Here is a 14,150-nt window from a genome sequence, read left to right as displayed (position 1 = left end):
GCACAGATAATAGTCAAATGTAATAAAATAGCAAGCATGAGGTTTTGAGTATTTATTACCTTTTTTTTAGAAATATAATTTACTTAAGTTTACATTTATATAATTTAAGTTGTAATAATGGCTCTGTTTAACAACCGGCACCCAAAAGTCTTGAAATGATTAACACTTGGGTCTCAAGAGCCATGATGAGCCAGTTAGGACCCAGCACTGGGTAGATCGAACCATTGTATCCAACAAAAGAGAGCCACAGAAGCTTCAGTTCTCCAAGCAGCCTTCCTGAGTCACTCTTAAATATTTTAACATTGACTTTTATCAACAGTTAATATGAGACCCTATTAAACAAACAGAGCTTTCACTGAGAAGCTCTGTTAAAAACACTGTTTGGCTCTAGGTCAGTGGTTCTTAACTGGGGTGATTTTGTTCCCCTGGGGACAACTGGCTGTAACTAGAGGCTTTTTTTTTTTTTTTTTTTTTTTTTTTTGAGAGGGAGTCTCACTCGGTTGCGCAGGCTGGAGGGCAGTGGCACGATCTCGGCTCACTGCAACCTCCGCCTCCCAGGTTCAAGCAACTCTCCCGCCTCAGCCTCCTGAGTAGCTGGGATTATAGGGACCCGCCACCATGCCCAGCTAATTTTTTGTATTTTTAGTAGAGACAGGGTTTCACCATCCTGGTCAGGCTGGTCTTGAACTCCTAACCTGGTGATCTGCCCACCTTGGCCTCCGAAAGTGCTGGGATTCCACCACGCCCGGCCGGCATCTTTGATTGTCACAACTGAGGGAGGGTGCTATTAGCATCTAGCCAGGGGCCAGGGATGCTGGCCAAACATCCTACAATGCAGAGGACAGGCCCCCCCACCCCCACCCTAACTCAGAATGCTGACAGTGCTTAGGCCAAGAAACCCTGTTGTGAGTCTTGTGTAATCTGTGAAATATACTACGATTTTTTTTTCTTTTTGAGACAGAGTTTTGATCCTGTTGCCCAGGTCGGAGCGCAGTGGCGTGCTCTCAGCTCACTGCAACCTGCGCCCCCCAGGTTCAAGCGATTCTGCTGCCTCATCCTCCTGAATAGCTGGGATTACAGGCGCTTGCCACTATGCCAAGCTATTTTTTTTTTTTCTGGTTTTTAGTAGAGACAGGGTTTCACCATGTTGGCCAGGATGGTCTCAAACTCCTGACCTCAGGGGATCCACCGGCCTCGGCCTCCCAAAGTGCTGGGATTACAGGCATGAGCCACTGCGCCCAGCCAATACATTTCTTTATAACTTACTGCCAGTTTCTCTCCTAAAATATTTCCGTCCATCTGATAAGAATTTTGTCACCCATTATGTTTCTCCTTTGTCCTTCACTAGCAGTAACTATATAAATTCTTTGCTTGCTCCTTTTTAGGACTCTGATTTTCTGTTTTTATTTTAACCTTATTATACACAGTCTTTTATTAATGAGATAAATTCTCCTTAGAAATAGGAAGAAGATAAATGGATGGATAGATGGATGCTTGGATAGATGGATGCTTGGATAGATGGATTCACGCTTCGACGCTTAGATGGATGGATGCATGGATGCATGGATGTGTGGGTGGATGGATGAATGCTTGGGTGGGAGGAAAAAAAAGTTAAAAGAGAGAAAATTAAAAAGGAAGGAGGAAATTTTGCCTTGAAATGCAAAACACCAAAAATAATTAGGTGGCTGCCAGTATAACTCTTAAAAACTTTATATGAAATATATTTAAATAAATACTTTTACTTTCAGAGAAAAAATGATCCCTATGCTCTTGCATCCCTGGTGTCCTTTGAAGTTAAGAAGATGCCTTATACAGATCAGCCAGCAAAACTCCCAGAAGGAAGCATAGTAGTGAGTATCTTTAAATATATATAGGCACAAATAATTTAATTGAAATAATTGTTTTAATCACTGTCTAGCTTGTGCTAGGCTTTAGTGTTTACATTGACTTGAGAAAAATTTTCCTCTTCAGCTCACCAATTTCTTACATTGGTCTGGTAATTTCCTAGTGCCTTTTGATCTGGTTTTTGAACTTTCAATATAAATGTCTACCCCAGAAAATTACAGGGCAGGACTAATACCATTTTTAAATGAAGACATTTTATTCAGAGGAATTCAGATAGCAGTTATCATTACAATGAAATCGTACTGATTCTTTCATTTTAAACAGCATGGTTAGTCAAGTAAGAAGGGAAGAAATTCTTTCTTAGGGATAGTAGGCTACGGAGCAGCCGCATGGCTTTGGACAGTCATTTTTTCTTGCTATGCAAAGAACCTTCATTTTGACCTAGAAGGGAATAAAAAAGTCTACTCTGAGCTTCAACTGAATGAAATGTCTTTTTTTTTTTTTTTTTTTTTTGAGAGTCTCGCTCTGTCGCCCAGGTTGGAGTGCAGGGGCACGATCTCAGCTCACTGCAACCGTTGCCTCCGAGGTTCAAGCAATTCTTCTGCCTCAGCCTCCCGAGTAGCTAGGACTACAGGTGCCTGCCACCACGCCCAGCTAATTTTTGTATTTTTCATAGAGACAGGGTTTCACCATGTTGGCCAGGCTGATCTCGAACTCCTGAACTTGTGATCCGCCCGCCTCAGCCTCCGAAAGTGCTGGGATTACAGGCATAAGCCACTGCGCCCAGCTGAAATGTCTTTATTAAAAACTGAAACTACTAAACATTACTGACACCCAAACATCTATCACAGAACAACTCTGATCATCCTCTGCAACCTGGCAAGGCCATGCAAAGGGGATAAAGGAATGAATGATGAGACCAGCAGGCACCATCACCAAAACTCTGCCTTTTCAGTTATTTGTGAAGGTGGTCAGAGACTTTTGAAAAGCATAGTGCTCCAAAAAACAATATTAGGATTCCACCTTCATCCCTTGGTAGCCAGTGGATATTTCCCATCCACAGCTTGAACTCTTGGTCCCCCAGACCTTGTTACTCAAAATGTGATTGCAGATCAATGGCATCAGCATCATCTGGGAGGTTCTTAGAACTACAGAAACAGACCTCTCCAGATCTGCTGAGCCAGGCTCTGCATTTTATCAAAATCATCAGAGCATTCCTAGGCATGGTCAAGTTTGAGAAGCACTGCTTTGGATGGTAGATAAGTTGATAATATTGTCATCTCTTTCTAGCCTAGATCATAAACTTAATTGTAACACTGAATCTTTCTAGCCTGGTCTACTTTCAGTGATCTAAATTAACCACTTGATTTGTGTTTCTCTACCCTGAGTATGCATCAGAATCATCACTCATGCAACTTAAAAATACATACATGCTAAGACTTCTCCCCAAATATTCAGTAGGTCTGGGGTGGGACCCTGACACTGTGCTTTAAAAGTCTTATGAGAGACAATTCTGCAGGGGAGCCAGGGTTGAGAGCTTCTAGCACAGGCAGGTGGCCTAGAGGAAAATCCAAGGTTTTCAAGATAGAGTCACCTGGGTTTGATCCTGGCTCTGCCTTGCTCTAATTAGGAAACCTTTGGGAAGTCACTTTACCTCTCTGAGACAGTCCACCACATCCACCTGATGGAATTGTTAACAAGATCAATAAGATTATCTGTATAAAGCTCTAGCATTGTACCTGGAACAAGTTAGTGTCAAATCTCAATAAATGAGAGTAGCCTCTCAAAATGTCTCCCCTTCTCTGGCTAAGTCCAGTAAGTGCAAATTGAAAGTGACAATTAAGATTTGCACAGTTGTGGGAGGATCACTTGAGCCCTGGAGTTCAAGGTTACAGTGAGCTATGATCGCATGCACTGCACTCAACCTGGGCGAGACCTCGTCTCAAGAAAGGAAGGAAGAAGGGAAGAAAGAAAGGAAGAAAGGAAGAAAGGAAGAAAGGAAGGAAGGAAGGAGAAAGGAAGGGAGGGAGACAGGGAGGAAGGAAGGGGAAGGGAAGAAGGAAGGAAAGAAAGAAGGAAAGAAAGAAGGAAGGAAAGGAAGGAAGGAAGGGAGAAGAAAGATAGATGTGCACAGTTAAAATATTTCAGTAAACTTCGGTGGTATTTAAAGCAAGCACAGCCACATCTTTCTTCATTTAGACCACCTCTTTTTCTTTCCAGTGATGTCCTCTGTGTTTTGGATTTATGTTCAACCTAGAAAACAGAGGCTTTGGGATTTTAATATAGAAGTTTCATCTAAAAATGTTCAAAGGCTTATAGCTCTAAGGGAAATAAATCTGGGCCCTTTTGTTTTTTCCAAGCACGTGCTCCCTAGCAGAAACACATGTTACGGTTGGTTCCATCCACAGGATTGCATCTTTCTGCACTGGCCACAGGTGACAGCCTGCTGTTCTCAACTCATCTCAAAAGATCCACAAAATAATCCGATACATGCTTTCCCCAGCCCTGCCACCCCTGTTATTGAATTGCCAAAAAAAAAAAAAAAAAAGACTTTTTATCTGATGTAGGTGATTTACCACATCAGTTATGTGAAGGTTATTGGGAAAAGATCCAGGAATGGAAACAATTTCAAGTCTCCCAATATCTGACTAACTGGAGAAGACCTTGCCAGTGCAAAGTTAGCTATGCAGCACACAGGGAAATGCTGCCTTACTGTGGCTTGATGTGAGAGAAGAACTCTGAGTGGAGCTGGCAGACATTTTTTTATAGTGAGCTCTTTTCAAAGGCTTTGCCATTCTTCTCTTGAAGGGAGCCCAGCAGGGCCAAGAGGGCGGCTCACACCTGTAATCCCAGCACTTTGGGAGGCCAAGGCAGGCAGATTGCTTCAGCTCAGGAGTTTGAGATTAGCCTAGGCAACATAGTGAGACTCTGCCTCTACAAACAAACAAACAACAACAACAAAAAGCATAAAATTAGCAAGGCGTGGTGATGCTCGCCTGTAGTCCCAGCTACTCAGGAGGCTGAGGCAGGAGGATTGCTTGAGCCTGAGAGGCGGAGGTTGCAGTGAGCCGAGATCACGCCACTGCACTCCAGCCTGGGCAACAGAGCAAGAACCTGTCTCAAAAAAAAAAAAAAAAAAAAAAAAAAAGCCCAGCCGAAAGGGAATTGCTTTAAGGTGGTAGAATCCATTGGAAATGGTAGTTGGAGAAGCATCAGAGCTCTAATCTGCCCCTGAGGAAAGTCATTCTTTGTTCCTTCTTCTATAATGAGACTACTATTTGCTTGTTTTCCTAGACCCTTTTGTGTGATGATTAGTTTGTTTGTACTCCCTTTTCAACACGGTCATAATTCAGCCATCTCTTGAGGCCCGTATTAGCTTTACTTATGGAAGAGAATCACAATTCCCGTTTGCTGCTTGCATAGTATCTGTGTTTGTAACAAATAAAATTCCTCATGTCCTGTGATGCTTGTCATGTCCGGAGACAAGGGAAAGATTGCATGATTCGAAGAAATATGCCTGAACACTGAATCGTTACAGTGCAACAGAAGAAACTGAAATTCAATTATTTGAACACTTTTTTGGCTCACCAAGGAACTTTCGCCTTTGCATGCCATACAAGTAACACTCAATTCTATAATTTACATCTAGCAGAAAGTGGGAGTGTCTTGTGTAATTCCAAAGGTGGTTATTACAAAATATTTCATGAAAATCTTCATTTAAAAACTCATATGTAAACTGTGAACCCATTTGGTTTTCAGAATTGTTAGCAAAACTTCTGCACCTTAATACCTTAATATGGAACTCTTATATTAAACAATTATTTGGAGTTGAAATTTATGATGGGAACTGCTTGTCTCATAAGGAAACTGTTTAAATGTTGTCAAAATGTGGGCTCAGCTAGTACACCTCATGTTATTATTTTGTTCTAAATGGCACCGTAGGTAGGGTGTCTTGGTACGTTTATTTAAAACATTCTTCTGACCCCACTGAAGTATGTTTACACAAGATTTTGTGATACATAAATAGAGACGTCAACATTAATTACCATTGCAAATACAAGGGAGCTTTTTCCTTCTACCTTGGTATTTTTTGTGAAAATATACAAAAACATATCATAAATGTCCACAATAAAATGTAGGCATATTAAAGGTTTATTTATGGTCTTTCCTCCATAATAAAAAACAACAAGATTTATGACATGATGAAGGTAAGATTAAATGTTCCCTACTTAGAATCATTTTAAGAAAATCTAAACCACTTACAATTTATGAATACTACTTTCTAAAATTGCAGACAATTATAATAAAGTGATTTGTTAAACTTACTTAAAGCTATTTTTAAAATAGCTAGAAGTACTTGATAAATAAAACTGTATTAAAATAGTTTATTGACTAGCTGGCACAAGATTGAATTGTTCTCCCTAAATTTAAGTACTCCAGTTACTCAACATGAAACTTCTTTCTTAAAGCAACTGAACTATCTCATCACAAGCCCCTGTGCCGAAAGTAAACCTCTAGTCCTAAATATGCTTTGTCTTCTGCCCTGAGTCTACCTTCTTGGTAAAAGAATCTTATAATGGGCCGGGTGCGGTGGCTCACATCTGTAATCCCAGCACTTTGGGAGGCCGAGGTGGGTGGATCACCTGAGGTCGGGAGTTTGAGACCAGCCTGACCAACATGGTAAAAGTTCATCTCTACTAAAAATAGAAAATTAGCCAGGCATGGTGGCGCATGCCTGTAATCCCAGCTACTCGGGAGGCTGAGGCAAGAGAATCTCTTGAACCTGGGAGGCGGAGGTTGCGATGAGCCCAGATCACGAGATAACACTCCAGCCTGGGCGATAACAGCACAACTCCGTCTCAAAAAAAAAAAAGAATCTTATAATGAAAGATTTGGGTAATTCAGGCAATCTCATCATTGTGTGAAATTATACAGAATGTTCTAGAACTATGCAGTCCAACATGGTAGCTATTTGGCTAGTGGAACTGAAGAACTTGTGGTTTTATTTCATTTTCACACATTTCAATGTAAACTTAAAAACTGAAGCAGTAGATAGTATTTTTCCATTAAACACGGTTGTGTTACTTTCACAGGACTACATTTCACTTTAACCATTAAAAATTTAGCAATTGTTATGTGCTGCAAATGTGAAATACATATTGGATTTTGGAGACTTAGTAAAAAAATGTAAATTATTAGTATTTTTATATCAATTACATATTAAAATGATAATAGTTTAATCATTAATAAATAATACATGATTCATAATAAAGAACCAATTACATGTTGAAAGGATAATACTTTTATCATTAATAAATAATAGTTGATATTTAGGGTTAGATAAACTATGTTATTAAAATTAACATCCCCTGCTTCTTTTCACTCCTTTTTTTTTTTTTTTTTTTTTTTGAGATGGAGTTTCGCTCCTGTCACCCAGGCTGGAGTGCAGTGGCTCTATGATGTCAGCTCACTGCAACCTCCGCCTCCCGGGTTCAAGTGATTCTCCTACCTCGGCCTCCCTAGTAGCTGGGATTACAGGTGTGTGCCACCACGCCTGGCTAATTTTGTATTCTTAGTAGAGATGGGGTTTCATCATGTTGGCCAGGCTGGTCTTGAATTCCTGACCTCAGGTGATCCGCTCACCTAGGTCTCCCAAAGTGCTGGGATTACAGATGTGAGCCACCGTGCCTGGCCCTTTATTCCTTTTAACGTGACTATTAGAACATTTTATGTTATGCTTGTGGCTTGCATTGTATTTCTATTGGGCAGTGCTGATCAAGGGCAAGGTTATGTCTTGAAGCTGATAATACCTACAGAACTTCAGAGAACATAGGGTGTTTAATAAATATTATTTGAAATGATATTTCAAATCAAATCAAACCACCAGGCATGGTGGTACACCCCTGTAGTCCCAGCTACTCAAGAGGCTGAAGCAGGAGGATTGCTTGAGCCCAGAAGTTGGAGGCTGCAGTGAGCTATGATCATGCTACTGCACTCCAGCTGAGGCAACAGAGCAAGACCCTGTCTCCAAAAATACATAAATAAATAAATATTATTTGAAATGAATGAAAGATTCTTCATATATGTCAGTGTTTAGTCATGAGAAACTCTAACATTTATGACTTATTTTTCCTCATTATTTATTATCTAATGGCTACTTCTATCTAAGCTTCCTGTAGGTTTGTCAAAATGAGCTGTAAGACAAATATAGATATTAGAAATAACAAAGTTTTGGTGTTTGTCAATATTTTCTTTCCTGCCCAAGCTTTCCCCAAAACTAGCCTGCAGTCCCACAGCACTAACACATATTTAAAGAAACTTTGGTCCTGTAAAAGTGATCAGTTAAGTCGTCTTCTCTTAAGCTTGCCTATGCAGTCAAGTCTCTAGTTTATCTATACAGAGCGTGGAGTTTCAGGAAAAGCTTTGCTTTACTGGTTTCCACCTGCACATGGAATGCCCCATTGCCATTTACTGATTTAGAGACATGAATATGTCACATGACTCCCCATCACTCTATCCCAGAAAGACCTCTCTTGCCGAGACATATACGTGACTCTTCTAATGATGTTGTGTGCAGAGGCAAGGACAAGGTCGCCTGATTCAGAGAAATATGTCTGAACACTGAATCATTACAGTGCAGCAGAAAAAAATTATTCAGTTATTTGAATAATTACCTTTGGCTCCTTGTCTAACTCTTTCCAGTAAGAGTCAAGCATCTCCTCTGCACGGGACACCAGATGAAATGCTCTGGGTCGCTGTTGTTGGTTTTCTGTATTTCCACTGTTCTTACTGTAGTGACTTCTAGACTATGCTGCAAAAGCCTACATAAGTTTAGGAAAACAACAAGGGTGAAGGAAGGTCTCTGCAGCTGCACCAATTTTAGATTGAGAAGATTGGGCCGCCTCAGTACCATATGGATGTCCTACAGGTAAAAGGACCAGGAAAGCAGAAAGCAGGCATGGGAGGAGAGTCACTCAGAGGTTGCCTTCTTTTAAGACTCTGTGTATTCTTTCCCGCTAATGAATTGCACAGGATGACATGGAGGAAATGCATATCATATGCATAATCCTGACATCAGAGAAAAGGTATGAAGTGTTTTTTGTTTTTTTGTTTTGTTTTGTTTGAGACAGAGGCTCGCTCTGTTGCTCAGGCTGGAGTGCAGTGGTGCGATCTTGGCTCACTGCAACCTCTGCCTCCCAGGTTCAGGTGATTCTCCTGCCTCAGCCTCCTGAGCAGCCGAGACTACAGGTATGCACCACCACCACCACAACTGTCTAATTTTTTTTTTTTTTTTTTTTGGTATTTTTAGTAGAGATGGGGTTTCACCATGTTGGCCAGGCTGGTCTCGAACTCCTGACCTCAAGTGATCCATCTGTCTCAGCCTCCCAAAGTGCTGGGATTACAGGCGTAAGCCACCACACCTGGCCCAAAGTGGTATTTTTTAAACAAACTTAATGTTACTGGAAGCAGACTGGCAACAGTTTTGATGATGAGAATTTCAGAATTTGGGAACTGAAAGGGACTTTCCGAATTTGTGATCACTGCAGGGGGTCATCTTCCCACAGACTTTTTAAAGACGCTGCTGTCAGGCTCTTTGGGAGCAAATGTAAACAGAAAGCCAGTACGTTCTGTAACTATCCCTATAAAGTTGTTCTCTGCTTCAAAAGACCCTAAGAATCATATCCTCATCAATTTCACATTTTCATTATACTTTTTCATCACTGCTACAAAAAAAACTTTAAATGTCTTTGTTAGCTCTTTGTAAGTGATCTTCTCTGCTTATTTCTCTGGATAGCCCAGTTATATAGATGATACATCAAAACCTGCAATAACCAAGGGGCAAAGTCACCTAGCAAAGTACTCAGTAGGTATCCACTCAGCCCATTCCATTTCTTTTTATTAAGCTAACAATTTGAAGAGCCTCTATTTCAACTCCTTTAGCATGTTTTGTGTTTTCTCTAACTTATAAAACTTGAACTCTTTTCTGTTTAACATAAAATAGTAGGCAGGAACTTAAGATAATAATTTTTTTTTTTTTTGAGACTGAGCCTGGCTCTGTCAACCAGACGGAGTGCAGTGGCACCATCTTGGCTCACTGCAATGCAACCTCTCCCTCCCGGGTTCAGGTGATTCTCCTGCCTCAGCCTCCCAAGTGGCTGAGACTACAGGTGTCTGCCACCATGCCTAGCTAATTTTTATATTTTTAGTAGAGACAGAGTTTCACCATGTTGGCCAGGCTGGTCTCAAACTCCTCACCTCAGGTGATCCACCTGCCTTGGCCTCCCAAAGTGCTGGGATTACAGGCATGAGCCACTGTGCCCAGCCTTAAGATATTAATTAGGTAAACCAGGAGAGGAAAGATCCATTGCCTGGCTCACCCTGAATTACCTATTAGAAAATTTTGGTGAGCTCTGACACATGCTCAAAGTAGGGACTAAAACTATATTGTGTCCTCAATGGACTTGGGGGTTATGAGGAAGTAATATTTACATGAAACCTCGGAATTTTCCATGGCTCCAGATTTCTCTCCTGGGGTCATTGTAACTGGCCTGTGAGTAGATGATCACTACTGTCCCCTTCAGTTCCAAAATTCTGAAATTCTCATTATCAAAACTGTGTGAGTCCACTTCCAGCAATATTATGTTCATCTTGAAATACCACTTCATGCTGTTCCTCTGAGTGCAGTCAAATGTTAGGATTCAGCAGTAATTTCATACATGTCATCAGGTGTAATTGACTAAGGAAGGGTACATAACAAGAGAAATAATCTAGTTCTTGATTTGCTCATGTAGCTGTATACATGCAAATAATTATTTTCTATTGATATATAATTGTACAAATTTGTGGAGTACATGTGATATTTTGATACACACGTGCACATAACGTATAGTGATCAAATCAGGGCATTTAGGATATCTATTGTCTCAAACATTTATCGTTGCTTTGTGTTGGGAACATTTCAAATCTCTTCTGGCTATTTTGAAATAGATAATAAATTATTGTTAATTAGAATCACCCTACTGTGTTACTGAACACTAGAATGTATCCCTTCTACCTGACTATGTTTGTCAGCCAACTTCTGTTCATCCAGCCCTCCCCACTCTTTGCCAGCTTCTGGTAACCATCATTCTACCCTCTACCTCCATGAGATCCACTTGTTTAGCTCCCACTTATGAATGAGAATGTGTAATATTTGTCTTAGATCATTTCAGAATAAATTACTTAGGCTGCAGCATCCAGGTAGAATTGCAACCACGGTGGGTCCTTGAAATTGATTTCTTCGACGTATGAACTACGTTTCTCATCCTTAAACAGTGGTGCGCAGAGTGTACGTAATGTCACCGTGGTGATGGACTGTCATGCTTCACACTGATGTGTCAGATGAAATAAAGATAAGATGAAATAATTCCTAGCGAGGAAAGTTAACAGGCATAGGAAGAAAATGTAATGATGACTAGGTTGAGGCCAGCCTTTTTCTCATGAAGAACATCTATCACATCCTTGGCATGTTCCTGTTAAGGTGGAATGACTCTCTCCCTATCTCACTCCTCTGTCCATGCCTTTATTAGTGTACATATAAATGACATTTGGGGCTGGAGAATCGAATGAATTGAGTCATCAGCATCTGCTGCATGGGGGATGCGGATCAAGAAGGAAGGAGCAATAAAAAACCAAGACAAGCTGAGAAGGGCACCATCAGGGCGCTCAACTCTAGTTAAGAAGACAGAAGCATCTGGGCACAGTGGCTCACACCTGTAATCCCAGCATTTTGGGAGGCCGAGGCGGGTGGATCACTTGAGGTCAGGAGTTCTAGACCAGCCTGGCCAGAATGGTGAAACCAGGTCTATACTAAAAATACAAAAAAAAAAATAGCTGGGTGTGGTGGCACATGCCTATAACCCCAGCTACTGGGGAGGCTAAGGCACAAGAATTGCTTGAACCTGGGAGGTGGAAGTTGCAGTGAGCCAAGATCGTGCCATTGCACTCTAGCCTGGGCAACAGAGTGAGACACTGTCTCACAAAAACAAAGAAACAAATACACAAAAGAAGACAGAGGCAACAAAGTGAGCATGGTTAGGGCTCAGTGCTAGGGTTCAGGCTGTGAAAACACCAATACATTTCCTGCTAGGGCAAATCTCAGAGCCGCCAACCTTAGTCATTAGTCTCAGCCTCTCCTGACGGGTGGGTTATAGAATGTGTCCTGGAGTTCTTGAGTGTGTTTCAGGATTGAAATGATCCTTTCAACCAACACAATTAAAACTAGGAGACCTTAGACCAGCTGAGTGGAGGCAATGCTTGCCACTCTGATAAAACCGGAATACTACGTTAGTGAATAATGTCTGCATCCAAGAATAATGTAGCGCTCTTTTCTTTGACAAAAGGTTTTAGCAGCATGGCTGGGTCTCTCCTTGGGAATCTGCAGCTTCTTTGCTGCCTCGGCCTCCGGAGGCACAGGCCTCCAACACAGGAGCAATAGAAGTGCTTCTGCCCACATAGGGAGTGGTTCATAGACACTGAGCATGCAGTCAGATTGGGAAGGTCTCATTTTCCTCTAAGCCCCCTTGCAACAGTGCGGGATGAAATGGGCTCCAGTCCCCATATGATCTTTGTTTTTGTGTTTTTGTTTTTTGGCGGGAAGGAGAAAGAAGAGTGTCACCCTGTTGCCTAGGCTGGAGTGCAGTGGCATGATCTTGGCTCACTACAACCTCCACCTCCCAGGTTCAAGCAATTTTCGTGTGTCAGCCTCCTGAGTAGCTGGGATTACAGGTGTGCGCCACCACACCCAGCTAATTTTTTGTATCTTTAGTGGAGATGGGGTTTCACCATGTTGCCAAGTCTGGTCTCGACCTCCTGAGCTCAGGCAATCCACCCACCTTGGCCTCCCAAAGTGCTAGGATTACAGGCATGAGCCACCGCTCTGGCCTGATCTTTGGATTTAGGATTAAAGTCATCTCCAACGCATCAAAAAAAATTGAACATTCACTTTGCACACTACAGTTACTTCCATAAAATACAAGATGCCTAGCCTCATGCTCTGGGATATCCTTCACTGATACAGCACAGAATCTAGGGATAAAGAGACCTAGTATTGACACTAATTCGTTGTGTGAATGAATCACTTAGTCCCTCTGGGAGTTAATTTTCTCACCTGTAAAATGAGGGGATTAGATTAGAGATTTCTACCCTTCTTGCACATCCAAGGATTCATGGTTGTTCACAAGCTTACCTCTCTCAATGAGGCTAGCTGAGTTCTAAGGAGACACATGGTAGACAGATTCATTCAGTTTTTTATTGAGTCTACTTTTGGCCATTGTTCCCATAAAAGTTCCAGCCCAAGTGAAGGCCATTCCTTTCCACCTTGTCAATTCCTGATGCACTCAATTCTATTCTAGGGTTTCTGTGATGCAAAGCCACCCACCCACCAAATCTCTAATTAGACTTTTACAGAACCAAGCAGATCTAGGAACATGCTAGCTTTTAAGAGTTCATGTTCGAGTGCTACCTCTCAAATATCCCCTAGATGATTTCAATTGTCATATGGATCCTTTCAGATCAACTTCCGATGTTGTACTGGTAATTACTATTTTATTTCACCAAATAGTTTTCGCATTAGAGCTCATTTGCTTTGTTTTCCATTTCAGATTAAGACATCAGTTATTTGGGCAACTCCGAATGTTTCCTTCTCAATCCCATTATGGGTAATAATACTAGCAATACTTCTTGGATTGTTGGTTCTCGCCATTTTAACCTTAGCTTTATGGAAGGTAAGTTGATTTACTTTGTTTTCCTTTTAAACTAGAGGGGCTGTTGAGGGAATTTAGAGGGATACAGTTAGGGATTTTAAAAGACAATTATGGAGGCATTTTTGGAAATTTTGAACAGTCTGAAGGATATAAAGGGAAAATCGTGTCTTGTTTGCTTTGGCATACTTAATATGTTTATATAGCTGACATTTAAGATGACTAGAGGTGCTTAATGTTGCTTTCATCTTGAGATTTCTTGTAAATAAATGTAGAGAGAGTTAGGCTGTATTAACTAAGGCCTGTGATCTTCTTTCCAATATGCTTAGAGTGATAATATTCTAATGAAGACTTCTTTTTCTTGTTTAATTAACCAAGATCATAAGCTTTTTATTGACATGGCCCTATCATCAATCCTTTGACATTTTTTATAAGCACTATGCAAATGCAATTAATATAGGTCAATTCTGATTTTTAATTTCAACTACTAATGAGGCCAAATAGATTATGCATGTGATAGGATGCCTGGACTTGGTTTTTAATCTTGCCAATTAGTTTGTCTCC

The 14,150-nt window shown here is 41.0% G+C and overlaps 1 protein-coding gene across 2 annotated transcripts in view; it reads left to right on the top strand.

Moving 5' to 3' along the window:
* Positions 1-14,150, top strand: part of ITGA8 (integrin subunit alpha 8) — a 205,969-nt gene that overhangs the window by 187,023 nt on the left and 4,796 nt on the right. For both annotated transcript variants that reach the window (NM_001291494.2, NM_003638.3), the window contains 2 exons: positions 1,749-1,850; positions 13,488-13,610. In NM_001291494.2, the coding sequence (NP_001278423.1) occupies positions 1,749-1,850; positions 13,488-13,610 (225 nt within the window). The remainder of the gene's footprint in view (positions 1-1,748; positions 1,851-13,487; positions 13,611-14,150) is intronic.

This window comes from Homo sapiens, chromosome 10 (genome assembly GCF_000001405.40).
Source record: "Homo sapiens chromosome 10, GRCh38.p14 Primary Assembly".
Classification (NCBI taxonomy): domain Eukaryota; kingdom Metazoa; phylum Chordata; class Mammalia; order Primates; family Hominidae; genus Homo; species Homo sapiens.
This window is presented reverse-complemented; position numbering and strand designations above follow the sequence as displayed.